The 27,889-nt window shown below is 49.3% G+C and overlaps 1 protein-coding gene across 7 annotated transcripts in view, besides 2 other annotated features; it reads left to right on the forward strand.

Annotated features, from left to right (window-relative positions):
• The window catches only part of RGS3 (regulator of G protein signaling 3), a 153,009-nt gene that overhangs the window by 37,779 nt on the left and 87,341 nt on the right, over positions 1-27,889 (forward strand). For 3 of the 7 annotated variants that reach the window (NM_144488.8, NM_001394167.1, NM_017790.6), the window contains 10 exons: positions 551-609; positions 1,630-1,724; positions 3,117-3,185; positions 13,278-13,338; positions 14,806-14,896; positions 15,517-15,572; positions 22,934-23,015; positions 23,880-23,985; positions 24,779-25,130; positions 26,033-26,072. In NM_144488.8, coding sequence (NP_652759.4) covers positions 551-609; positions 1,630-1,724; positions 3,117-3,185; positions 13,278-13,338; positions 14,806-14,896; positions 15,517-15,572; positions 22,934-23,015; positions 23,880-23,985; positions 24,779-25,130; positions 26,033-26,072 — 1,011 coding nt within the window. Of the gene's footprint in view, positions 1-444; positions 610-1,629; positions 1,725-3,116; positions 3,186-13,277; positions 13,339-14,805; positions 14,897-15,516; positions 15,573-18,998; positions 19,123-22,933; positions 23,016-23,879; positions 23,986-24,778; positions 25,131-26,032; positions 26,073-27,889 lie in introns of those variants that run through there. The other 4 variants (NM_130795.4, NM_001276261.2, NM_001322214.3 and 1 more) reach the window with 2 other exon arrangements.
• Positions 20,816-21,458: an enhancer, noted in NCBI's record as "H3K27ac-H3K4me1 hESC enhancer chr9:116265604-116266246 (GRCh37/hg19 assembly coordinates)". NCBI's record gives its function as "activates a minimal SCP1, AML or CMV promoter by ChIP-STARR-seq in primed H9 embryonic stem cells {active_cell/tissue: H9 hESC(primed)}" and the evidence as "EXISTENCE:reporter gene assay evidence [ECO:0000049][PMID:30033119]".
• Positions 21,459-22,099: an enhancer, noted in NCBI's record as "H3K27ac-H3K4me1 hESC enhancer chr9:116266247-116266887 (GRCh37/hg19 assembly coordinates)". NCBI's record gives its function as "activates a minimal SCP1, AML or CMV promoter by ChIP-STARR-seq in primed H9 embryonic stem cells {active_cell/tissue: H9 hESC(primed)}" and the evidence as "EXISTENCE:reporter gene assay evidence [ECO:0000049][PMID:30033119]".

Below are 27,889 nucleotides of genomic sequence, written 5' to 3' on the forward strand. Positions count from 1 at the left end.
AGCCACAGCACGGCTCACGGCACACCGTGAGTGCCACGGCATGGCTCATGGCACATGGTGAGTGGCCCCTTCATTCCTAGAAGGCAGTCTTGTGTGGTAGAGCACTGAGCCGGGAGTCAAGAGACATGGGTTCCAAATCCAGCGGTCATTCCCATTGTTCTGTGATTGTGGGCAAGTTTCTTACTATCTTGGGTTCCCCTCGAAGCCTCATTTTCCCCATTACATGAAGGGTTAGATTCTATAAACTGTAGTTCTCTTCCAGCTGTAAGATTCAGGGAATTGAATGTACCTCGTAATGCATTGGTGAGGGTGCTGCCAGAGAGTGGAAGATGGTGGGAATGGCCTAGACCAGAGCAGGTTCATAGCCAATGGTGGTTATGCAGATTAAGGGCCTAGTAGCAGGGGCCATAGCCCTGCTACTCACAGATACGCTTTTCTTTTCAGGTCTCTTTATTCGTGTGGATGGATATGTCTATGTGTGTCTCTCTTTCTCGCTGTGTGTGTGTGTATGTTTCCATTCATCCACCCCAATGTCTGAATTCTCTTTTAGTTATAGAAGGTAAAGGCCTGATCAGCAAACAGCCTGGCACCTGTGATCCGTATGTGAAGGTATGTGGTGGGGCCGGAGATGGAGAGTGGGATATTGAGGGGCCATGTTACTGGGCTCAGTCCCAAGGTCCCAGCACACCTGTGGGGCTGGTGACCTTTGAGGAGGCAGTTGCCATCTCACTCATCTTCTCAATAGGCATTTATTGGGCCCAGTGCTGGGACAAACCCATTCCCTTAGCTCGGCTGGGTCCCTGGGGCTTCCTGCAACAGCCAAAATCTTAAGGGCGATCTTGGTCATCTATATAGGTGGGCAGTGAGTATGTGGATGGCTGAAATCCACAGGTAATCCCAAGACCTCTTGTGAAAAGCACCGTTTTCACCCACTTTCCCCCCAAACTAGGGGCAGGATGGCCAGATTTGGGCAGTAGAGTGGAGGGAGTGTCTCTGAGGGCTGGAAGATCCTTCTGGGTTGGGCTTTTGCTGTAAAGACAGGGTCCTTATAGGGGTGGGGCTCTACTTTCAGTGAGAGCCAAAGGCCAGGAGCTTCCTAAAGTGTGGCAGCTGGGGTTCCAGGTGCTGGCCCTCAGCATTCTTCCTGAAGCCTTCAGGCTGATCAGAAGCCCCTGCTGGCAAGGAATTTATCAGGAGCAGGGCTAGAACAGCCCTGGGTTGAGAACATGGATTTGGGGCCTTGGCAGAGGCTGACCTGGAGCCTTCGTGAAGGGAGCACTCAGCAGCTGCTGGGACCTTAGAAGAGAGGAGTCCTTTCGCTTCTGGGGAAACCACTCTGCTTGGGGGAAGAGCAGAGATGATAAAGTTGTACCCCAGCTCTGGCTGGGCCGTGGCTGCCTTTTTGGTACCACCCACCATGAGGCCCTGTCCTGGCATCTGCCTCCAATGTCTCTTGCCCTGGGCTCCTTGTTCCCTTGCAGCATCTGACAGGGGACTCTATTCTGTCCTCTGCAGAGGCTGACTTGAAGGACCCTGGGAAGCCTTTAACTTGGAGATGTGCAGAGTCAGCTGCTGGGCTTAGGTGGGCCATGAGATCCGCTAATCATGCTTCCTTTTTTCCAATTCAAGATTTCTTTGATCCCTGAAGATAGTAGACTACGCCACCAGAAGACGCAGACCGTTCCAGACTGCAGAGACCCGGCTTTCCACGAGCACTTCTTCTTGTAAGAGTCTGGTGCAGCTGGGCCCTAGAAAGGAGAGGGAAGGAGTGTTTATCTGGAAACAGCTCTGTTTGCCAAATCTAGAACTAGATCTATGCAAAAAAAAAAAAAAAAAAAAAACCAAAACAAAAAAAACCAGTGCCTTCTAAAGGATGTCTTTGTTTTCTCACTCACTTGTGTCCTTGCATCCCTGGCACCAGGCCCAGCAGCGAGGTCCACAGTGATAAGGTATCACTTGGCTAGCTCTCATAACTAAAATGCCCAGCCTGGGGCTGGCAGCCCATAAAAAGTGTAGGCAATTTCCCACTGTGCCTTGGGCCAAGCTTTCTCCTTTAGCCGAAGGAATTTTCCAAGCTGAAGGATGTTTTGCCTCCCTGCCCCCCTTTTTACTTCAACTTTCTAACCTCTCTGAGCCTTGGCTTCCTTATTTGTAAAATGGGGCTAATAATAGTAGCAACCTCAGAGAGCTGTGGGGTATAAATGGGACAGTATAACATAACACAGGGTACCAGCTATTATTGTTATTATTTCTTTCCCCAATCTCTGAACTCTGGGGCCAATGGGAAGGTAATGTACATTTTGTATTTTCCTATTAGTGAAAATTAATATTTTGGTTTTTCTCTTACTACATAAAGTAGTTTTGGTTATGATAGGAAAATAGAAAATATAGATGAGTAAAAAGAAGAAAATAGAAAACACCTATAGCCCTCCTACTCACAGATACGCCCTACTGTATTTCTTTTCAGACCTTTTAAGGTCCTTTTCAGACCTTTTCAGACCTTTTAATGTGTATGTTTGCGTGTGGGTGTGTATGTTTGCATGTGTGTGTGTATATGTCTGTGTGTGTATGTTTACAAAAATGGAATTTTTTTTTTTGAGATGGAGTCTTGCTCTGTCACCCAGGCTGGAGTGCAGTGGCACAATCTCGGCTCACTGTAAGCTCCGCCTCCTGGGTTCACGCCATTCTCCTGCCTCAGCCTCTGGAGTAGCTGGGACTACAGGCGCCTGCCGCCATGCCTGGCTAATTTTTTTTGTATTTTTAGTAGAGACGGGGTTTCACCGTGTTAGCCAGGATGGTCTCGATCTCCTGACCTCATGATCCGCCCACCTCTGTCTCCCAAAGTGCTGGGATTACAGGCATGAGCCACTGTGCCCGGCCCGAAAATGGAATTATTTTATAATAGCATGTTGTAACCTCCTTTTTGTCCTTAACAACATAATATAAACTGTTTTATGCATGGAGGTAGTCATCTCTTACTTTATTTGTAATATAGTTTATTTAACCAGCTGTTGACGTTACTTCCACATTTTTGGAATTATGACTGACTCTATGAGTCAGCTATGGCCTGGAGCTCAGCCCTTACTAACACTCCGATGGTCTGATTGATTTCGCAGTCCTGTCCAAGAGGAGGATGATCAGAAGCGTCTCTTGGTTACTGTGTGGAACAGGGCCAGCCAGTCCAGGTGAGGAGAGCTGCTGAGCTGGAGGGGGACTCTGCTCTGGGCTAGTGGGTGACAGCCAGGTGGCCAGCATACACCAGGGGTTCGATTAGTGCTTTCTGGATAAATGAGTGATAGTGGCAATACTAAATTGCAGAGGCTGCCCCTCCTTGAGTCTCCATCATTCCAGGTGTTACCAAGGACTGTGTTATCAATGAGCATTTGCTGAGCACTCGGTATCAAACAAGGCACTGTGCTGGTCACTGGGGAAGCCGACCAGCCTACACATGGAAATTTATTCTCAAGGTGTCCACTGTTCACGTGGGGACACCAGGCACTGCATGGAGAGAAATTACAATAACAACATGTACGTGCTCAGTTCTACAGGACTCTAAGCACCTTGAAAAACAGGACTATTTCTTTTTTAGTCATCACAGTACCTAGTGCCTGGCATATAGATGTTTATTAGATATTGGCTGCATGAAGAAAAGAATGACATGAGTAATAAAGGCCATCAGTATGGGAAGAGGGAGAGTTCACTGTGGTCTGAGATGATCAAGGAAGGCTTCATGGAAAAAGTGGAATTTTGAACTTGGGCACAGATGAAGAATAAGACAACTAAAGAAGAAGGTTGGAAATGGCATTCCAGGCAGGGCAAAGCATGAGCAAAGGCAAGGAGGCAGAAATACTCACTGTAAGCTAAGGCTGCCATGATGAGGCCAGGTAAGGGAGTATAGAAGTTTTGTGTAGGAGAATCCAAACAGGCTGATCTTGCAGGCAGTGCAGGACACAGGAGGGCTGAAGTGGCCATTAGTGACGGCAGTTAGAGCGGAGCAGGGGAGGAGTGCCGGGCAGGTGAGCATGAGAATTGGCTGTTGAGTGACAGCAATGCACTGCCATGGCCCACTGTTAGCGGCAGTGGCTCATTTGGCTGGTGCAGCCTAAGGAATCTGGGATACCCCATGGTCAGTATCATTTGCGGAGCAATCACATCACTGAATGGTGACTGAAAAGGGGCTTCCGTGAATGAAAATCAGCTCAAGTCACCAGCTGAGACCTGGAAAACATTTTTGGGTTCAATGCTCTTTAGTACTCTAAATGTTATTAGCTAATATGTTTTTTAAAATCGGGGTGTATTTAACATACAAAACGAAGGATTTCTCTTTTAATAAAGTATCCACTTTTCATCCTAGGGTAGTATAGTACAATAAACCTCATTCATTCATTCATCCAGCTGCCATTTCCTGGGTATCACTGTGGCAACAACATGCTGGGGATGCATGCATAGGGTCAAAGACTTTCCTATCGGATCACCGATAGAGACTTGGAGCTGAGAGTGAGGAGGGGGACGTCATGTTAATAACAATAGCAATTGCTGACTGGGTGCTGACCTGGAGCCAGGGGTTAACAGTGCATTGTCTCATTTAATTCTTTTTTTTTTTTTTTTTTTTTTGAGACGGAGTCTCGCTCTGTCGCCCAGGCCGGACTGCGGACTGCAGTGGCGCAATCTCGGCTCACTGCAAGCTCCGCTTCCCGGGTTCACGCCATTCTCCTGCCTCAGCCTCCCGAGTAGCTGGGACTACAGGCGCCCGCCACCGCGCCCGGCTAATTTTTTGTATTTTTAGTAGAGACGGGGTTTCACCTTGTTAGCCAGGATGGTCTCGATCTCCTGACCTCATGATCCACCCGCCTCGGCCTCCCAAAGTGCTGGGATTACAGGCGTGAGCCACCGCGCCCGGCCTGTCTCATTTAATTCTTACAACAGCTCTAAGAAGAGTGTGGTTTTGTCCTAAGTTTTCAGAAGAGGAAACTAAAGTTTAGAGAGGTTAGGAATTTGCCTAAGGTCATACAGCCAGTTAACAATAGAGCCGGGATGGAATCCAGGTGGTTGGACCCCAGGGTCTTTCCTCTCAACACTGTACTGACTCATGGGTGGACAGGTGAAAGGACAGAAGAAAGAGCCAGTAAAGTAGAGAGGGAAGGGCAGGGCAAGAGTGGAGTGAGGAGGGATCTGCAAACTCATTGACGTTGCTGGAAGGTTAAGTACAAAGTAGGGACTGGCTAAAGATTAGCTGAAGAGGTTGGTATAAGCCAAGTCAGATGATTCTGTAGATTCTCTTTGGAGTATGGGGTTTCTCCTAAGGGCCGGTGGTTCTCGATCCTGGATATACATCAGAATTCCTTGGGATGCTTGTCAGGAACCTAGATTCTTAGGTGCCGCGTCAGATTAATTACATCCAACTCTTCATGGGCAGGGCTGAGAAATCTGCATTTAAACATGTTTGCAGGGTGAACCTCCTGCAGTCACTTTGGTGTTTGGGAATGTCTGGCCATTGGGAGATACTGAAGTGTGTCAAGCCAGGGAATGATGGATGCACATTCTAGATCTATCACTTTGGTAGGTCTTTGGAAGGTTGAGGTGAGAGAGAGGCTTTGGGGCTAGGGAGGGGAAAACAGACTCAGGCCATATTTAGGAGATTAAATCAGTAGTGCTTAGTGGTGATTTGGCTGTGAGAGCAGTGTGAGAAGTCAAGGGTAACTCCTGGGCGGCTGGTGGTGTCTCCACCTAAGACAGAGTTACTGGAGGTGGAGGTGAGTCAGCTTGGGATACGGTGAGATGCAGGTGCTTGGAGGGGAGCCAGGTCAGAGCTGTGAAGTAGGGCTCACCTTTGCCTACCTGGAACTTGGAAGACAGAGATATGGGAGCCATGAGCAGGAAGGCAGTGGGTGAAATTCTGAGCAAGTGAGATTGTCAAGGAAGGTCATCGAATGCTAAGGACCAAGGGTCCGCTCCCTGTCTTTGAAGGGACAGGCCAATGAAGGGAAGGTCCTGAAGGAGACAGCAGAGTGTCAGAGAGGCATATGGACGCCCAGAAAGCCCTTTGGGTGGAGGCAGACACCAAACTGCTGGAGAAGGAGCCGGTCATGCCCTTCATGGCTTTTGGAAAAGAAAATGAGGCCAGGGAAAGTGAGTCAGCGTCATGGGGCAGTGTCTCCACGTGTTGCCTATTTTGGGAAAGTGAGATGCCTTATTAAACAAACTACAGCCAAACTCACGGTCACAGTCCCAGCCCGAAGCTCAGGAGGATCAGGGCCTTGGGAGCAGAGGGCCCTGTGAAGCTGTGAGCAGCACGCAGGCCGGCCTGGCCTCCTTGCGCTCTCCTTTTCCTCTCTCCTTTATCGATCCATTTCGGAGCGAGAAGGCCTCTGAGCTGGAGGAGGCAGACAGAGTGATTGCAGGAAACTTCGGCTCTGCTGAATGCTCTCAAATCAAATTGTGCCTCTCTGAAGGATGGACATTCAACTTATCAACATGAAAGACAATTGTGGAAGGAAGGAAACAAACATTTATGGAATTCTTCTCTGTGCCAAGCACTTTACATACATTATCTCATTTTATCCTCATCATGATCCTAAGAGGTAGGACTTATTATTGCCCCTCTCTTCAGAGAAGAGGAAACTGAGGCTTATGAAAGCCGAGGCACTTGCTTGAGGTTATGTAACAGCTCATATTTACCAAGCACTTACTGTGTGTGGACATTAAGCACATGGCACTCGTTCTCCAATTTAACCCTCACAACAACATAAGAGGTAGGTATTATTATTTTTGCTCTTTTATAGGTGAGGAAACAGGCACAGAGGCGTTACATAACTTGCCTAAGGTAACACAGATAGGGTGCCGTGAAAACAAGATGTAAATGCAGGCAAGCTGACGCCAAGTCCAGGTTCTCGCAGCTACATTACGGTACACTTGACCATCTCACATGGATGATAAATGACTCCAAAGCATACTCTTTCTGTGTCAGTATGCTTGCTCCTCAGGACTCAGGGTGCTTCTCTTTGCATTTATAGTGTAGTTTCATTGATTGATTGAGACAGGATCTCACTCTGTCACCCAGGCTAGAGTGCAGTGGTGTGATTAGAGCTTACTGCAGCCTTGAACTCCTGGGCTCTAATGACCCTCCAGCCTCAGCCTCCTGAGTAGCTGGGACTACAGGTACATGCCACCACACCCAGCTACTTAATTTTTTTTTTTTTTTTGTAGAGACGATGCCTTGCTATGTTGCCCAGGCTGGTCTCCAACTCCTGGCTGCAAGTGCTCCTTCTGCCTCAGCCTCCTAAAGTGCTAGGATTACAGACATGAGCTACCGCAGAATTTATAATGGAGTTTTATGTAAATTATTCAGCCAAATGTGTGGTGGTCACATTTTGAAACTGATAGGAGATAACAGGAAAGCATCTGTTTCACTAATTCTCACGATCCTTCCAGGGATGGCTGTGAACTTGTGTTAGAGAAACAAGATGATCTACAAAGAAGTTCTGGGGAAGGGCCAGATGATTTCAGTTCATCATGGTGATCACAGTGGGAACTGAGGAGAACCAGGCCTCAGCACAGTAGATTTTGGCTTAGCTTTGACTAGCTGTATGACCATGGGTCAGTCCCTTCCCTGCGCTGAGCCTCAATTTCCTTGTCTGTAAAATGCAGTGATCACTAATGTTTCTTTCAGCTTCAAGTTTCTGGGAGTTTTTTATAGGCACTTTCAAATGTGTGCAGAGGTAGAAAGTATCATATAATAAACCCTCATATACTCATAGCGGAGTTTCATCAATTATCAATATATGGCCAATCTTATTTCATTTACACCCCATCCACTTTCCCCTTCTCCAGTGAATTATTTTAAAGCAAATCCCAGACATCTCATCTCATCGGTATATATTTCTAAAAGATGGCTTTAAAAAAAATCATGATGACATTATCACACTTAAAAATTAATAGTAATTCCTCAATATGCCATTGAATATGGAACTCAGCTTTAAAAATTCTGTTTGATAATATGGCAAAAGACAAATTGAAGCTTCCAGTATTAATCAGAACTTGTGGCCAGGGAACAGACTTGGAGAGAATTATAATGTTATGTACTAAGGTAAAAAATGCATATATGTATTATATTTATACCTCCAAAGATTATGTTCAATATATAATATATTATTATAAATTATATAATATATAAAATATAATATATTATATTATATTTTATATTGGTATATATAATTATATATAACTTAATTATAATTATATTGGTATATATAATTATATATATAACTTAAATATAATTATATATCGTTATATATAATTATATATAACAATTATAATTATATCAGTATATATAATTATATATAACCTAATTATAATTATATATCAGTATATATAATTATATATAACCTAATTATAATTATATATCAGTATATATAATTATATATAACCTAATTATAATTATATATCGGTATATATAATTATATATAACTTAATTATTATATATTGGTATATATAATTATATGTAACGTAATTATTATATATTGGTATATATAATTATATATAACTTAATTATAATTATATATTGGTATATATAATTATACATAACTTAATTATAATTATATATGAGCATATAGAAATTATATATACTAATATATAATTATTTATATATTATATATATTCTTTATATATTATTATATATTAATTATATGTAAACATTATTTATATATGTAATTAAAGAATGTTATATATATGTAATTAAAGGGCATAATCTTTTTTTAAAGTAATTTTTTTTTCTTTTTTTTTGAGATGGAGTTTCACTCTTGTGCATAATCTCAGCTCACTGCAAACTCTGTCTCCCAGGTAGCGATTCTCTGGCCTCAGCCTCCCAAGTAGCTGGCACTCTGCAGGCGCATGCCACCATGCCCAGCTGATTTTTGTATTTTTAGTAGAGATGGGGTTTCACCATGTTGGCCAGGCTGGTCTCCATCTCCTGACCTCAGGTGATCCACCCGCCTTGGCCTCCCAAAGTGCTGACATTACAGCCATGAGCCACCGTGCCCAGGCAAGGACATAATCTTTTTTTTTTGAGATGAAGTCTCTCTCTGTTACCCAGGCTGGAGTGGAATGGCGCGATCTCACCTCACTGAAACCTCCACCTCCTGGATTCAAGTGATTCTTCTGCCTCAGCCTTCCAAGTAGCTGGGATTACAGGCGCATGCCACCACGCTTGGCTAATTTTGTATTTTTAGTAGAGACAGGGTTTCACCATGTTGGCCAGACTGATCTCAAACTCCTGACCTCAAGTGATCTGCCTGCCTTGGCCTCCCAAAGTGCTGGGATTACAGGCGTGAGCCACTGCGCCCAGCCAGGGCATAATCTTTTATACTAATAGTAGGTACATTTAGGGAGATTCTACTTGTGATTTGCCCTGCACTGTCCCAGGCACTGTAAGTGTATGCTCTCCTTTAATCTGTTTTATAAATGAGATCTCAGTGCCAAGTACAGTGGCCTAACGTCAGAAAGCTTGTGACCAGTGATGGGTACTGAGCTTAAGGAAAAAGTGAATGGAAAAATCTAAGTTCAATTTAAGTCATCAAATTAAATATAAATTAGGATTAAATGGTATAACCCTGTAACAGAAATAATTTACCTGAGAGGGAGAACTAAAGTGCATTTCCTCAAAAAATAATCTATTTTTTCATCTTGTAATGAGTCTGCAACCCTATGCTCAAAAGTAAACTGAATACTATTCCCCATATGTGCTGCATGAAGTTACTTCAAAGCCTTTGTAACGGCTGTTCCCTCTGCCCAAAATGCTCTTCATTCTCTCTGGCTCAGTTCATAGGTCTTCTTCCAGCCTGTGAGCCCTAAACTACCTCTTGTGTCCCCGAGCCTTCAGAATTTGTTGCCTGCACTGTTCATCTGTCAATCGCACCCTGTCTTGTGACATCCCCTGTATTGCTGTCTTGAACTGCTATTTAAATTCCTGGATGTTTGTGTTGTTTCCTTAACGCTGTGGCTCCTTGCCCAGTGCCTGCCAACCGTGGACGTGATGGATTCATCCATTTGTCAAGCCTTCACTAAGTGCACCAAGCCTGGAGCTCAGGGACTGGTAGTCAGAATTAACCAAGGCTTGGTTCCGGAGACTTTGCATCTAGTGAGAGTTCAGGCACTCCCGAGGGTGAGCGCTAGTTCCCAAGTTTATAAACTGACTGCTGTATTGTCATATACTCAGGTTGCTTTAAAAGAAGTCTTTCTTCCTCCAAAGATTTTTCAAAAGCAGGCATAAGAAATAGCTAATTGAAGAACACTTAGAGAGAGGTTCCTGCTTATGGACATTAATTGTGGCAATTTACGCTGCCTGAGTTACCATGAAAGCATGGGAGGCCCCTTAGCAGGAAGTAAAACTCGAGGGAGGCTATTAACCATTTAACATTCTCTAAACACCAGGGAATGAAGATTTCGCTTAGTGAAGAGCAGAGAGAGGTTGCTGAGCTAATGCATTGGCCTGGAGACTTTGAAAGTTTCAGCCCTACCCAGTAGGAAAGAAGTGTACAACAGAGTAGTATGGGCACCTGGATAGCAGCTGGAGTTCTCTTGAATGTGTGACAAATAAAATGAAATTGGTATGAGGACTTTGGCAAAGTCTTGCCAAGGCTTTTCTGGAATGGCAGCTCAGATTAGTTTTGGCTGTTTATGATAGTCACTGCAACTGCCTCCTATTAGTGCTGACTTGGCTACTTCCCAAGGGGGAGGAGTATTTGTTTTTGGTGGTGGGCTGGGGAGGTGGATGTGGAAGGGCACTTTATTGGGGTGAGAGCATTGTCCTTTTTGAATAGATTATTAATAGAGCCTTGGATGATGAGAGAGGCAAGGAAGAAGGCAGCAGATGGAGCCAAGGCTGAAGGAGCTGGGAGCAGGAGTGATGAACTGAGAGCAGCTGTTGAGAGACAGCCAGAAGCAGGGGCCTCAGCTCTGGGCCATGGGGCAGAGCATGGGTTTGCAGGCAGGTGGACCAGTTTTGAGGAGCAATCCCCCAGCATCCTGCCTCCCCACCCCTCGCTTGACTTGGCTGCCTGTGAGAAGCTAGTTTTGTTTTGCTTAGGACTGTCCGGTGGTAAGCTGCCACGCTTTCTGGAGAATCTGAACAATATGTCTTTTTTGAGACCTTCTAGATCACTGGTCTTTGACTGGGGCAGGCATAAGTGGGTGCTTGGCAGGATACCCTGGAGAGCTTTCTCCAGGCTCCCATGCTCGAACCCCACCTTGGACCAACTAATTTTGGGTTCTCAGGAAGAAGTCCTGGAGCATATACCTCAGACAGGCTGTTCAGGTGGTTTTGTGGTACACTTCTGGATAGAACCACTGCTCTAGCTCAGGCCCCCTTAGACCAGGTTTTGGAAAACACATCTCTAGGGAGTTTACTACCTATCCAGAAGCCTGTTCCATCTTTGGTTTTGATATTGTGCCTTCCATAGGACATGCCAAATCTCTCAGCTATGTGGGTCCTTCAGCTATTGAAGCCAGCCTCCAGGGTTATGCTCCAGCCTAAATATCCACGATGTTTCTTGATTAATAGTTATTAAACCAACCTATGAATTAGTCCAAGTTGAGGATGGGGTAAGAGAGAGGAGAACAGAAAGATGACATTAAAAAAAAACTCTTACTGTCAGGATAGAACAGGATGTGGCACAATAAAAGTCCTTAAAAGTATATTGATACTGTCTTTTTTTTTCTCCTGATTATAAAAACGATACTTGTTCCCTATGCAAACAGTGAAAACCCATAAAGGAAAATTAAACCCCTAGTAATCCCACCTACCAGATATGACCATTGTTAGTATTTTTGTGGGTGTCTTTCTCATTAAACTCACATTACTCATTAAATTTACAGCTTTGTAAACTTCTTTTTCTCTAACAATATCAAGATATTTTTGGACTTTATTAATATTAACTGATGTTATCATTATTATTTTTTTGAGACAGTGTCTTGCTCTGTTGCTGCAACTGCCTCCTGTTAGTGCTGACTTGGCCACTTCCCAAGAGGGAGGAACAGTAACACACAATCACAGTTCACTGCAGCTTTGACCTCCCAGGCTCAAGTGATCCTCCTACCTCAGCCTCCTCAGTAGCTGGGGCTACAGGCTCATGCCACCATGCCCTGCTATTTTAAAAATTTTTTGTAGAGATGGTGTCTCCCTTTGTTGTCCAGGCTGGTCTCAAACTCCTGGGCTCAAGTGATGCCTTCCAAAGTGCTGGATTACAGGTGTGAGCCACTGCACCTGGCCCATGCCATCATTATTAAAAGCTGCCAACTCTTAGTCCCTGATTATTGGACATTGAGCCTCAATGGTGGACATTCTTCAGGAACTCTGAATTCTTCTTCTTCTTCTTCTTCTTTTTTTTTGAGATGGAGTCTTGGCTCTGTCACCCAGGCTGCAGTGCAGTGGTGCGATCTTGGCTCACTGCAACTCCACCTCCTGGTTTCAAGTGACTCTCCTGCCTCAGCCTCCTGAGTAGCTAGGATTATAAGCATGCACCACCACGTAGGGCTAATTTTTGTATTTTTAGTAGAGACAGGGTTTCACCATGTTGGCCAGGCTGTTCTCAAACTCCTGACCTCAAGTGATCTGCCTGCCTGTGCCTCCCAAAGTGCTGGCATTACAGGCGTGAGCCACCGTGCCCAGCTGTGAATTCTTTTTAACCAAGAAGATTGAATTTAGCCCCTCGCCATAGTCTGACATCCCCATGAGGCCTGACCCTGGCCCATGCCTACCTGCCCTGCTGGTGGCCAGGTCAGATTGGTCTCAGCAGCTTTTGTGTCAGGTTGGTTTGGACCTTGATCTGTAGCCATCTAAGAACTGCTCAGCTCCTTCCTGGACCTGAGATAGAACTTCTTGAGCTTGAGGTCCCATAACTGTTCTCCTCCACTGAGCATCACCAATGATGTGGGCAAGGAGGTTCCCTGTGGGGACCAGCTCTTCAGATCTACCTAGCACCAGAACGGTTAAAACTCATGAAGTACCGCTGAGCTTCTGTGTTTGGTAGAGGCAGTGCTGAACTTGTCCTGTGACCTTGGGAAAGGGACCAACTCTGAGTCTCCATTTTTCCCTCTGTAAAATGGAGATAATAGCTCCTCTCTATCCTGCCTCACAGAGTCAGAAGGATCAAACGAGATGATGTGGGTAAAAAGCTTTGTAAACCACAGTGCATCAGGCAAACCCATGCTATACTTGATAATGGACCTCCCGATAGAGCCCAGAAAAAAAATGCTGACTCAAGTCTCACTTGTTCTCCCAGACAGAGTGGACTCATTGGCTGCATGAGCTTTGGGGTGAAGTCTCTCCTGACTCCAGACAAGGTGGGTCCTAGGGATGCTTCTGTCAGGATCATCCCAACTGGGCCGGGGCTGGTACAGGCAGAGTTTCTCTGTCAGCTCTTGGGCAGGGCTTCTCTCTGTGAGATGGTGCCCCACTGAGACAGGTGCCCTGTGGGGTGGCCTGCATAGCAGCACTGTGTTTATTACCTGCCTAGCTGAGAGTTTGGGTCCCCTTCTTGGTTTGTCTTGCCAGAGAGCAGTTTGTTAGGCAGCCCCAAGTCTTCCCAGGAGGCTCTGAGTCTGGTGTCTGCTGTTGAAGACATTGGCAGATCCCTTGGGGCCCAGAGCACTCCTGGGCCTGCCCCAGAAGATGAGGGCCAGGTGCACCCGTGGTCCGTTCCAGGGGTCCTCTTCATGTGTCTACCAGGCCTGATATTTCTGGGCCTAACAGGTGCTCAAGGATGGAGTGAGCAGCACCATCCTCTGTGGAGCTTTCCTTCAGGCTGGAGGAGGACTCTTTGGGACCCAAGACTCCTAGCTCTGGGTCACTGGTCCCTTATCAATTTCTACGCTGCACTGGACTCCCCAAACTGGAAGGTGGAGGGTGGGGAGCACTCCTTTTGCACATCCCTGGAAATGTCCTGGTGGCTTGTGGCATGGCCTGCCACGCAGATTTTTGTCCTGGGGTGGGTGGCTGAGGACCCTTTATCCTGCATGTGAGTCCTAAAGAGCTTCTCTCTCTCTCTCTCTTTTTTTTTTCTTTTGAGACGGAGTCTCACTCTGTTGCCCAGGCTGGAATGCAGTGTTGTGATCTTGGCTCGCTGCAACCTCCGCCTCCCAGGTTCAAGCAATTCTCCTGCCTCAGCCTCCTGAGTAGCTGGGATTATAGGCATCTGCCACCACGCCTGGCTAATTTTTGTATTTTTAGTAGAGATGGGGTTTCACCATGTTGGCCAGGCTGGTCTCAAACTCCTGACCTCAGGTGATCCACCCGTCTCGGCCTCCCAAAGTGCTGGGATTACAGGTGTGAGCCACCGCGCCCGGTCTAGAGCTTCTCTTGACTGCAGCCTTGGCTTCATTCTCCTAGAAAAGATGTTCCCCCTGGAGACTGCTCAGGAGCCACAGGATGCCTTTTGGTCTCTCCATCCCTCTTTCACTCCTTCACTTCTGTTCTGTCAACAAATATGGCTCCTACTGTATACCAGGCATAGTGTGAGGCACATCAAAGAGCCTGTGCACAACTTAGTGGGGGAGACAGGCAAGTAGATGGTTGTCCTCCAGGGATAAGAGGCTGTGGGAATTTGGCAGAGGGGAGAGCCAGATCTGCCCTGAGCATCACGGAAGGCTTCCTGGAGGTGCAGGCATGGCAGCTCGGGGCCAGGAAGGCTGGAGAGTCTGTCTCTCCTGTGGGTGGGTGTCCAGTGGCTACTTTTGGAGGGGGATTGGTGGCTGCCTGACCTGTGCTTCTGCCTCCTGTGTCTGAGCGTGCCATTCCTTCTCTCGTGACAGGAGATCAGTGGTTGGTACTACCTCCTAGGGGAGCACCTGGGCCGGACCAAGCACTTGAAGGTGGCCAGGCGGCGACTGCGGCCGCTGAGAGGTACCTGCACACCCCCTTCAGCTTCCCTTCCCAGGACCTGCCCCCTCCCTCCTTTCCTGCATAGCGGCATCAGTACTGGTATTTGGTGGCCCCTGCTACTGAGAATGCTATCAGCCTGCTGGGTGCAGGGACTTCTCAGGAGCACTTGCTAGAGTGCAGGCTGCAGGAAGCCTCTTGCCCATGCCTCCACTGTTTATCTGGTTGGACTTTTACTGTAGAGGCTATGGTCTGACCCCATGTGGTTTAGCTCCCTCCCTTGTGGGGTACTTTATGCTTCCCCAGTGGCCCCTTCCCAGCTCCATGTCTCAGGGATCCCCCAGGCTGCCTTGCTCATCTTGGGATACCCACCTCTACAGACAGGGCGTTTAGGTCCTGCCATGATCCCTAAGGCTCAGAATGTGGATTTCATGACCCTTTTCCATGTTCTGCCTTTCCCACATGCAGCCCTGGCTCCTGAGTCCCTGTCTGGATTGAGCCTCAGGTGTCCCCACATCCTGAGGCCAGGAGTGGCCCTGGGCAGCCCCATGGGCCTGTTTCCCAGTGCTGTCCTCTGGGTGGTCCGAGGAGGGGAGACTTCTCTGCCACCAGAAGTTTTCTGATTCTGCTCTGTCACCTTCCAGACCCGCTGCTGAGAATGCCAGGAGGTGGGGACACTGAGAATGGGAAGAAACTAAAGGTAGGTGGGGACAAGCTAGGGCATTGCTCCAGGAGCTGGATCTGCTCCTTGACAGCCCCTGGGCCCGGGAAACCCCTAAAGGGGCAGCATTTGGTGCTTGAAACTCAGCAAGTCATGTACTCAGAAGGAATAATTTCTTGATTTTCCTGAGGTGTATTACAGGAAATAAATGCTCTTCTCAGGGTATCCATGATCGTGGCAGGGGTGGGGAAATGGCCAGGCCCCCACCTCTGGAAATGGAAGCATCTGGATCTTACTAACTTTGGGCCTCTAGAAACCGAGTCCTCCCCTTCCCACAGACTTCTCGGCCCCCTGCTTCCCCTGGGACTGAGGCCGAATCACCCTCCCAGGTTAGGCCTGCTTGATGTCAGGGGGCAGCTGCGATTCTGAACCTGAGACCAAGGTGTTCTAACTCTATTAGGGCTTCAAGTCTGGAAAGGAGCCTTTTTCATATAAGGAGTTGGGAGAATTCTCCAAAAGTCATTCCATCTCTTTGCAGGGCATGGCAGGGGATCTACGGTTTTCTTTAACAAGTAAGAGAGGGAATTACTTGGCCAGGTGTGGTGGCCCACGCTTGTGATCCCAGCACTTTGGGAGGCCGAGGTGGGCGGATCACCTGAGGTAAGGAGTTCAAGACCAGCCTGGCCAACACGGTGAAACCTTGTCTCTACTAAAAATACAAAAAAATTAACTAGACATGGTGCTGGGCGTCTGTAGTCCCAGCTACTTGGGAGGCTGAGGCAGGAGAATCACTTGAACCCAGGCAGCGGAGGTTGCAGTGAGCTGAGATCATGCCACTGCACTCCAGCCTGGGTGACAGAGCAAGACTCTGTCTCAATTGAAAAAAAAAAAAAAAAAAAAAAGGACCGGGCACGGTGGCTGATGCCTGTAATACCAGCACTTTGAAAGGCTGAGGTGGGCAGATCACTTGAGGTCAAGAGTTCGAGACCAGCCTGGCTAATATGGTGAAACCATGTCTCTACTAAAAATACAAAAATTAGCCAGGCATGGTGGTGTGCACCTGTAGTCCCAGCTACTTGGGAGGCTGAGGCAGAAGAATCGCTTGAACCTGGGAGGTGGAGGTTGCAGTGAGCGGAGATTGTACCGCTGCATTCCAGCCTAGGCAAGAGAACGAGATTCCATCTCAAAAAAAAAAAAAAAAAAAAAGGAGAAACAAACTCCCAGCAATTCATTAGCCCCTGTATACCAGGTGCTGTTACCTAATCTTCACTGCCCGCTCTAAGGCAGCTGTTACTTCCGCATCTCACAGATGAGAGGGACATACATGGTTCAGAGCATTAGGCCCTCTCTGTGGCCACACAGCTGGCAGGTGGTGAAGGCAGGCTCTGAGTGAGGGCTGGCCACCTTTTCAGTGTGCTGTGGCACACTGCCTCCTGTGCATGGCCTAGCTGGGAATATAAGACATTGCTGTAGTTCCTAATAGTATTTTACGTATTACACAATATCGGCGTATTACAATCTACCAAACATTTTCACGTTCACTGACTCAAGTCATTCACTCATTCATCATTCATTAAATATTTCCACCTATGTAGGCTGGGCCCTGTGCTGGGTGCTGGGATGCAGCTCTGGACCTGTCTAAGGCCCTGCCCCATGGAGCAGTCTAGAGCTGTGCTGGCCAGTGTGGTGACCACCTGCTACCTGTGGCTATTGAGCACTTAGTGGCTAGTGTGACTGGGGAACTGAGTGTCAACTTTAGTTTTAAGTAATTTCAGTTTACCTGGCACATGTGTCTAGCTGCGACTGGGTTAGACAGAGAAACTTGCCAGGAGTAACTTGTCAGGTTTGTTTTCTGTGGTTTCATTAGTTGAAAAGCTTTCCTCTGGCTTCTGTGGGGAACTGCAAAGACCTTTCCTCCTCTCTTTCTACTTGCCAAGCACAGAGAGGATGGTGATCAGGGGGCCTCCCTCGTGATTCATGGAAATTACATGGGCATCAACACCGTAAGTTTGCTTCCTCCAACATCACAGGTTTCTTGGTGGCTTGTAAAGTCCTCCTGCGTGCTGGATTCTGCACACAGGCCCTGAGCCCCTTGTTCTGAGGTGCACTGGATTTTCCTGAACTTATGTGCTCAGAGATGTCTGTGGGACTCAGCAAAGAGGGTGTGCTTCTCAGAGGCTTGGTTGGGGCCGGGGGAGAGCCCCCAGAGGCCATCTCTTCAGCTCCTGTGCTGTGCAGGTGGGGAGATGGAGGCCCAGAAACCTGGGTGACCTGCCCACAGTCACACAGCAACCAAAGCTGGGTTGAACCAAGGAACCCTCTGTCATCAAGGACTTGAGTGTGTGGCTGGGCTTCCCCAGGGGCTCTGAGATGGGCAAAAGCAGCTGGGCTCACCATGCGCTGCTCTGCAGGATGCTATCCTGGGACTGCCAGGCAAGAAATAGGACCCAGGTTCTGGTCCTAGCCCCACACTGCCCTGCTGTTTGACCATAACCTCTCCAGGCCTCAGTTTGTTTGTCAGTAAGATGAGGACGCTGGGTTGTCTGATGACCTGGAAATCCCTTCCACATTTGACTTTATGGTCCATGTGTATCACCAGATCCTGACAGCAAACCACTTCCATGGACAAAGGACAAATAAATTGACTTTTTTTTTTTTTTTTTTGAGACAGACTCTTTCTCTGTCACCCAGGCTGGAGTACCGTGGCATGATCTCAGCTCACTGCAACCTCTGCCTCCTGGGTTCAAGTGATTCTCCTGCCTTAGCCTCCCAAGTAGCTAGGACTACAGGCGCCTGCCACCACGCCCAGCTAATTTTTGTATTTTTTAAGTAGAGACAAGGTTTTACCATGTTGACCAGGCTGGTCTTGAACTCCTGACCCCAAGTGATCCATCTGCCTTGGCCTCCCAAAGTGTTGAGATTATAGGCATGAGCCACCACGCCTGGCCGAAACTGACTTTTAAGTAGTTTCCAAGTGGCAGGCAGGTCTTCAGACTCCAAATGTTTTATGTTCCCTGTCATGAGATGGGATGTCTGTGAGTGCAAACCCCCCCAAGGTATCCTTGGATTCTTTAGGCTGGGGCAGTCTCCTGGATTTCTAGCAGGGTCCCTGGGACTTGCAGGGGGAGGAGGTGTTGTTATAGAGCAGCCACGTTTTCTGCCTGGGTTCTCCTCCAGTGAGGGGTGTTTGTGAGAACATTGGAATCACAAAGTGGCCCATGGCGGAGAATGCAGCCAGAACAAAGGCGCCCTCTCCCCGCCGGGCCCGGGGAATACTAACTAGTTGACAGGAATTTTAATATAAAACTCTCCCTCTTCCTTGTCATTCTGAGGTTTCAGGAAGCCTTCGGGCTTATCGTGCAGAGGCACACAGCACAGACAGGGCTTGGGGAGGTGAGAGGTGATTTCCTGCCATTCTTCTGTGGGGCGGGCTTCCCAGGGTGCTCATGCCAGGCTGACGGGTCCAGTGCGGGCTCCCGCTGCTGGGGGAGAGCTGGGTTTTCATGGGGCGGCAGCCGAGGCAGGACCCGCAGCCATGAACCGCTTCAATGGGCTCTGCAAGGTGTGCTCGGAGCGCCGCTACCGCCAGGTGGGTGCTTGGCCTCTTGTGGGGAGCCTGTGGGGTGTTCAGGGATAGGGGTAGAGGGACCATCTGAGAAGGATCTCGCTCCTCACAAGGTCTTCTTTGACCTTTCCTGCTCCCTGCAGGCTCACTTGGATATGGGGAGGAGGATAGAGACAGGAGCTGGACCCAAGGCCCCTTTAGGGCCCAGCTCTGTATGGAGTCCTAACCACTGGCTGGGTGGTGTTTTTGGTGAGATAATCCAGCTAGCTTTCTGTTCTTTTTATCTGGGGAGGGGCTGTGGGTGTGAGATTGAAAATGCCATGGTTGCTGAGCAGCTGGGAGCAGAGTTTGTATTTTTGCTAACTTTTCCTGCTTCTGACAGGACAGCAGTGCCCATTCTGCCCCCTGTGCGTGTATGTTGGCACGTGCTCATATGTGAGATCGGGTGTTTTCGTGTATATGTACATATGTATAACTTTCCTCTCCCCTACTGCTGATGCCTCACTATGGCTCAGGATTCCTTTGGCTTTGGAATCCAACTTTACAGTGAGGGTTTGGCCTCTTAGCCTCCGGTCTTAGAAAGGGGGAAGACTGGGCCATTATGATCCCATTAGCTCCCCTGAGCCTCTTCTAGAACTGTGATGGGCCATTTTTTCTCATAAAATAGGAATGGGGTTAGGGATGGTGAAGGCAAGTGATATCTAATCTGGAAGGGAGTTCTGAAATTGTCCTGATTTTAAAAAATCACATAGAGAAGCCCCTCTATTTGTTTTAATGACCAGATTGGACTGTGGGTCTTGACTCCTCTGACTGGCAGTGCTTAGGTCCCAGGGAGATGCCCAGAGGGGTCCCTGCCCCCCCACCTGCCTGCTAGGGGATCCAGTGTTTTCTCTCTAGCCCTCCCCCGCTCTCAGGTTCTGCCCTTCAGGCCCCACTCTGTGTTTCCTGCCCTCATGGGGCTGGGAAAAGCAGCCCCTGCGACACTAGCGTCTGGATGGCAGAGTGGTGAGACAGAGAGAGCACTGGTTGGGACATCTAGTAGTCCTTGGTCACCCTGGGGCTATGGGCTAGAAGACTGGGCATGCTGGCTGTCAGAGTGGGGCCAGGAGCAATTGTGGGCTGGACCTAGGGCTCAGGGACTCAGAGTTCAAGATGGTTTCTGTGTTAGAAACCAGTGCAGAATTGAGAGCAGCAAGCTTTTTGTCAGGTCTGAGCTCAAATCTAGCTCTGTTCCTCTTTAGCTGTGGCTTTTGAGCAAGTCACTGTTCCTCTCTGAGCCTTTATCTCCTAGTCAGTAAAATAGGATAATGAAATCCAGCGATGGTGCCATGGGAGTGAATAGGATGATGTGTGTGAAGAGCCTGGCTCAGTGTCTGCTGTGCATATTTATCTAGGAGGTGTTTAATACATGGCAGAATTTGGGGATTACAGTCTAGGCAGGACAGAGGAACAGAAACTAGACAGGAGAGCAGAGGTAAGGGGCTGGCATGGGTGAGACCTGGGAGCAGTGGCTGTTCCTGCCCTGGACAGGAAAGAGCGAGAACCACCCGCAGGAAGGACAGGCTCTGTCAGAAGCCGCCAAGGCCTCGGGGCAGGGCTGCTCCTTTCACCTCCAGGTCAGAGCAGGGCTGAGAGCCGGAGGGTGGAGGGGGTGGCACTTCGAGTCTTATCTCCTTGTCTGTAAAATGGGCATACTCATTCCCCTAGGGGCTGCAGGGATGGTCAGGTTCTTTGGACACTACCCTCTCAATGTGGTCAGTGATCATGGTGGACAGAGTGTAATTCTGCTTCCTCCGAGCTAGGAGGTGAGCTTGCCTCCCGGCACCCTCTCCTCTTCCCCTCCTTCACACTCCCATCTGGCTTGGACTGTGGTCTGGGCTGGCACTTCTTAAGCTGGTGCCCAGGAGGGTGAGGGGCCCCCAGCCCACAGTCCTGCTTGGATGTGGGGTCTGGGTGTGGGAGGAGGAGGCTGTTTTCTTGGAGCACACTCCTCCCCAGACCCCACTCTCCAGTTACTGCCCCATAACTGGCCATCCAGAGCCCAGGGTGCTGGGATGGGTTTTCTATGCAGGGGGCTTTGGCCCTGGATGGGGTAGGGGTGGGGAAGTGCTGGATAGGCTTTGGGACCCCAGCTTGTGCTTGGGTTGAGGGTTGGCTTGTGAGGCCCCTAAAAAATCCCCGCTGGTTCCATGGAGGGGGCCAGGCTCCTGGCGTCTTCCCTGGCCTCAGGCGGGCCCGGCAACTAGTGGCTGCTCCTTTCCCCCAGCTTTCCACACTCGTACCCGCGTTTGTTTTTCTTTCTTTCTTTCCATTTTTTTCTCTTCCTGTCTTAGCTGCGTGTTTTCCCAGAATTCTTATGGGAACGGGGTATTTTCCTGCCTCCTCCCCCTTCCCCTTGTCTGTCAGGTTTCCTGTTTTACAAACTTGCTTTGAATCCAGGCCCGGGGCTGGTGGGAAGCAGAGCCTCAGAGGTCCCTGCAGCTTCCAAGGCCCTTGGTCACTCTGAGCCCCCTCCCACTCACCTTCCTTATGCCTGGCCCTGGGATGGTGGGTAGGTGAATGAGTGCAGGTGCCTAGTCTTGCAGGGACAACCCTCAAAGGAAGGAGACAGAAGTCTCCTGACAAGGCTTGTGCCCTTGACCTTTTCCAAGCTTGCTGAGCTGGCCTTTGTCTCAACTCACTTGGGACACCCTTCCCTGTGCCTCACCAGGGCCCACCCCAAGTCCCAGTTTCTCTAGGGGGTCTCTCGGGACCCCTTGAATCCCTTTTCTGATTTGTGCTGCCTTTAGCAGCCGGAATGGGCTGGCAGACCACCCTACATCCTCCTGTGTGTGGGACACTGCCAGGCTGTCCTCCCTGCATTAGCCTCTGCTGAGTTCCTACCATGTGCCAAGCATGGCGTCCATAGTCGGAGCATAAAGGACTGAGAATGGCCCAGTCCTCCTGCTTTTCTTTAGTGCCCGCTGTGCCCTGCTTCACTCTGGAGAGGTTTGTGTACCCTCGTGCTCCTCTGGGAACCAGAGACCAAGGCTGCATGCCTCTGTATGTCCACAGAGCCTGGCATGCTGTAGGAGCTCAATAATTGTGTGCCAGTTTGAAAAGAGCATCCAGATGGCAAGGCCCTCTCATGGACTTCTGAAAGTAGGAGTTGTGGACCTGTCAAGCACATGGGCCTCAGCAGGCACATGAGTCAGTGGCTAGTTCAGGTTCAGCCAGGAAGCCTATCTGTGACCTTACCTGGGAGTCCTCATGGGATGCCTTGGGGCCCTGGCCACAGATTGGCCCCCAGAACCTCAGCTCTCTTCCTCTGACCCTTGGCCTGAGATGGAGTGAGTGTGTCCCAGTGTTTCCTCCCCTGTGCTCTGGGAGGGCAGTGACCAGGCTGGCCTTGACTTTGGGCCCTTAGCACAGGGCCCGCCCCAGGCTAACGCTCTGTGAACCTCTGTGAGAAAGGAAGAAGGGAGCCAGGAAAACAGTGGATCAAAGGTGAGGCTGAGTCATGCAGTGCTGGTGGGCCCTTGGATCAAGGGCTGGGGCTGCTGGGGCTCAGGATGGCAAAGTTTGCTTTTCCAAGACCTTGTCCATCCCAGGCCCTCCCCACATCAGCCTGGGTTTACTTGCTGAGCTTTGGGCCTTCCTGCTTGGCCCACAACCCAGTGCTCAAGTTGTCTGGGCTGAGATAGGGACACTGAGGGGCTGGCTAGCTCCTTTGTGCCTCCAGTTCCCTTGGAGAGGAGGGTGGCTCTTGGCAGGGGTGGGCTGTGGGCTTCCTGACCTTGGGGTAGAGGCAAGAGCCTCCAGCTTCTGGCAGTGACCGGGCAGGGCTGTGTCCTAGATCACCATCCCGAGGGGAAAGGACGGCTTTGGCTTCACCATCTGCTGCGACTCTCCAGTTCGAGTCCAGGCCGTGGATTCCGGTAAGTTATTGACAGGGGGATGCCAACCCCACTTGCCCACCACACATGTGGGCTTTGCAAACATAGTCTGGAACTAAAAGGGGAGCCCCAAACTGGAGCAAAGTGTCCTGGCTTTTCAAAATGAAAAGAATAATATTTTTAAGTGACCGTAGATGAAACTGCCATTTATGAAAATATGCCCACTTTTTTTTTGTTGTTTTTATCAAAATGAAAATAGGTTTTTATATTTTGTTTCCCAATCAGTTTGAACAGGAACTAAACCTATATTTTCAGCAATGGCTGCAAGGGAAAATGAGAGTCATTTGTGAACTCTATTTGAAGCTGTTTTGTATCCTATCCAGAGCCTGATCAGCACTTAAAAAGAGCCATCCTTCCCTACTTTTCACAAATGAAGATTTCTCTTAATCACAGAGTGAGCATCTCAAAGACAGAAGCCAGGGCTCAGTGGTCAGGGTGTTTCCAGTGCCTACACAAGGGTGGGCATGAGGTTCGTGCACAATGATTGGCAGAGAAGGAATAAATGTAGTGTGGGAGCCTGGCCCCAGGGAAGGTTCTCAATGGGGTAGGAGGCCCTGGGGAGGGGTAAGGGCCCGGGTAGAAGGGTGGACTGCAGAGAGGTAAGCCAGCAGTAGGGGAGGTAAGCCAGCAGTAGGGGAGGCAAGCAGGGAGAAGGGAAGGCAAAGGGATGCCTTCTTTCAAGGCTCTTGAGAGGCACCAAGTTCAGTCCCTCATTTCACGGATGAAGAAACTTAGAGAAAAAGGGAGGTCCTTGTCTGAGGTCACCATGGCAGCAAAGGACTCCAGATCCTTTGAAGGGGTCTTAGGCTTCAGGGGCCCCTGAATGGCTTTTCTTTGTCCCTGCAGGGGGTCCGGCGGAACGGGCAGGGCTGCAGCAGCTGGACACGGTGCTGCAGCTGAATGAGAGGCCTGTGGAGCACTGGAAATGTGTGGAGCTGGCCCACGAGATCCGGTGACAGGGGACAGCGGGTGGCCTGGGGCCTCAGGCTGATGGCACACCCTCCCCACCCCTGGGCACACTGCCTTGCCTGGCCCAGCTCTTGCTGCTCCCTCTTTTGCCTAGCTGTGAGCAGGCAATTCCTTTTGCTCTTCAAGGAATCTGTTTCTTGGCCTGAGAATGGAAGGTTCAGGCTCAGAGCACTTTTGGATTCCAGAGCAAACAGCAGGGAAGATGCTCTCAGACTCTGTGGTTCAGGACGGGGCACCAGGAGGTTGCTTTCTGCTTTAGCTAATTTTTGTTACCTAAGAGCTAAGCCCATTTGTTATTTAAGGGCATGAAGATGTTGCAAATGTTTCAATTGCACAATTAAAAAAATATTCTTGAAAACATTGGAGTCTCCCAAATTTTGATCCTCTAGGGTAAAACCCCGATGGCCCCATTTTAGGTCTGCTTCTGGAATAACCAGATGAGGGCTTGCACTTAGGTGACCTGCTAGCTTTACTTGCTTATATCTTGCTTTTGATAAGCATCATGGATTGAGTATGGAACTCTTTCCTGTTGAAACTGGCCTGGCCTCAGGGTCCTTCTCAACCACTGCCCGTCAATAGGAATTGACCTAGGTGACCCATTTGCTGTCTCTTCTTTAAATGGCTTCTTGCATCCCTTCCTGCCCTGACACTGGGGGCTTCCCCTCTGGTGTCTGCCTCCTCTTCCCCCATTATCCTCTCTGCCCTGTGGGCCCTCACTCTGGCTGATACTGGCTTTCCCCAGGCTCAACCTGTCTGTGTGATCCCCCACCTTCCAGGAGCTGCCCCAGTGAGATCATCCTACTCGTGTGGCGCATGGTCCCCCAGGTCAAGCCAGGACCAGATGGCGGGGTCCTGCGGCGGGCCTCCTGCAAGTCGACACATGACCTCCAGTCACCCCCCAACAAACGGGAGAAGAACTGCACCCATGGGGTCCAGGCACGGCCTGAGCAGCGCCACAGCTGCCACCTGGTATGTGACAGCTCTGATGGGCTGCTGCTCGGCGGCTGGGAGCGCTACACCGAGGTGGCCAAGCGCGGGGGCCAGCACACCCTGCCTGCACTGTCCCGTGCCACTGCCCCCACCGACCCCAACTACATCATCCTGGCCCCGCTGAATCCTGGGAGCCAGGTACGGACAGCTGGTGTGGGGAAGGTGAAGGGTACTGGGTCCCTGTGGGAGGCCAGGAAGACTTGAAGACCCAAAGTTGTGTGATGAGCAGCCTGTGAGGGGCTGCGATGTTGGGCAAGGAGATGGGGTATGTGCTAGCTCTGCCTTCTGCAAGGCTGTTCTTGGTAGGGAGGACAGATGGGTCTATGTGGCCTCAGGGCACAGATTCAAGACCAGGGCATGCACAGGCTGGAAGATTTCAACTCACAGAAGGAAGAGCTTTCTACTAGCCTGTGCTTTTCCCCAGTGGAATGGGCTGCCTTGGTAGGTGGTGAGCCCCCATCATAGGAGGTATGAAAGCAGACACTGCATGATTGCATGGTGGGATGATGGAGTGCGCTCCCCAAAACATTAGTCCCATGAGATGCTCTGGGAAAAAGGTGTTCTGAGGTCAAATAAGCTTGCGACATATCCCATACCCTCTTCCTCATCTAGGAGATTCTCAATGCAAAGGAGCCTAGTAGAGGCTCTGCTGGCATCCTGTACTACAGCAGGTGTCAACCAAATAACACCGCATTTCCCAAACTTGCCTAATGGGGGCACACTTTAGGGCGTGGTTGGTACCGTCTTACCATTCCAGTGTTCCCTAGAATGCACTTTGGAACCAGCTGCTGTAAAGGAAGTTGGGGACTTGCCAAGGGGTTAGGCTTCATGACCCATAAAGCCTCTTTCAACTTGAATATTCTGGGATTTTGTGTTCTCTCCCAGCCTCCTCCCTCAGCTGGTTACCAGAACTGCTGTTTTTCTCTTGTGCCCTGAGGTGCTCCACTTCCTCTCCCCTGGGGCCCCCGTGTCCAGCAGCCTCCTGGGCTGTCCTGCCCTGTTCCTGGGGCTGAGGTGGTTTTCCTGTCTTTCCCTTGCAGCTGCTCCGGCCTGTGTACCAGGAGGATACCATCCCCGAAGGTGAGTCTCCTGCTGCTGCTGTGCCCTCCTAGCTCAGAGAGGCAGCAGGGGTCAGCTGAGGCCTGGCCCAGCCTCCGCCCCTGAGTTCTGAGGCCTTTCCAATGGAGTCAGGTCACTTAGCCTATCGACACAGACTCTCTTTCCACGTGGTACCTTTTCTCCCTCACGGAACCAATGTCTTTCTTCCTTGAAGCCAGAACTGAGAAGGAGGAGAGGGGATCTTACCAGGGCATTTTGAGAGACCGTGTGTCCAGGCCTCAGGCATTCAATTGAGATTCATCCAATTTTACAGAGCAACCGATATATATTAGGTGCCAGAGGCAATGTGGTTGGGCTTGCATGGAAGGGAGTCAGGGAGCGTGGAGGTGGGAGGTCTTGAGTTGGAGTTCTAGCTATATGACTTTGAGCAAATCATGTCTCCTTGGTCGGGCGTGGTGGCTCATTCCTGTAATCCCAGCACTTTGGCAGGCTGAGGTGGGTGGATCACGAGGTCAGGAGATTGAGACCATCCTGGCTAACACAGTGAAACCCCGTCTCTACTAAAAATACAAAATCACTACTGGGCGTGGTGGTGTGCGCCAATAGTCCCAGCTACTCAGGAGGCTGAGGCAGGAGAATCACTTGAACCTGGGAGGCAGAGGTTGCAATGAGCCGAGATCATGCCACTGCACTCTAGCCTGGGTGACAGAGCGAGACTCTGTCTAAAAAAAAAAAAAAATCCTGTCCCCTCGCTGAGCCTCAGTTTCTTCATTTATAAAATGGGGTCAATAATTCCTACCTCAGAGGGTTGTTGGGGGGATCCCATGAGAGAATGGTTATGAGTAGTTGCCTGTATACTGAGAGAGGCTATACAGAGGGTAGCTGTCTTTGAAGTGCACAGATGTCTCTGCTGCTGGATGGATTCTTCTTCTTTGGCTTTTAAAATCCTGATCAGGGGTGGAAGCTGAGCTCAAAACCACTTTCTTCTCCCAGGAAGGCTGAGATATTGGTCTTGAGGCTGAAGCTGGCTGGGCATTCCTTGAGATCCTTCGCGTGCCTGCCAGAAAGCTTTGACTCAGAAGTCCATCTGGTGTCTGGACCGCCTTCCTTGACAGTGGCTTTTGCTTAGCCACTCACAGACTTGCTTCCTTGCTGTTCCCCTCTCAGTGGTGTGAAGGCGATGCTTCTAGGGGGTAGTTGGAAAAGTGCTTGTGCCTTTTGCGGGTGTGAAGCGCTCCCATCAGGCTCAGGGATGCTGATGGAAGACATCTTCTTTCTCTCCGGTCTGGGGCATTTGGGCAGTTGAGCCTGGTCAGTTGGAAATAAATCTGTGTTCCTTCTGGGGAGAAGTCCGACAGCAATTCAATGATGAGTTTTATTTTTATTTTTTATTTTTCCATAGATTATTGGGGTACAAGTGGTATTTGGTTACGTAAGATTTTTAGTGGTGATTTGTGAGATTTTGGTGCACCCATAACCCGAGCAGAATATACTGCACCCCATTCGTAGTCTTTTATCTCTCACCCCCCTCCCATCCTTCCCCCGAAGTCTGCAAAGTCCATGGTATCATTCTTATGCCTTTGCGTCCTCATAGCTTAGCTCCCATGTATCGTTGAGAACATACAATGTTTGGTTTTCCATTCCTGAGTTACTTCACTTAGAAAAATAGTCTCCAATCTCATCCAGGTCGCTGCAAATGCCGTTAATTCATTCCCTTTTATGGCTGAGTAGTATTCCATCAATGATGAGTTTTTAAAAAGCTTTTGGTTGGCACATTAGGTTAGAGTGGAGATGCTGCAGCTAAGTAGGGACTTCATTAGGGTCAAGGCCTGGGCCTG

This window comes from Homo sapiens, chromosome 9 (genome assembly GCF_000001405.40).
Source record: "Homo sapiens chromosome 9, GRCh38.p14 Primary Assembly".
Taxonomy (NCBI): domain Eukaryota; kingdom Metazoa; phylum Chordata; class Mammalia; order Primates; family Hominidae; genus Homo; species Homo sapiens.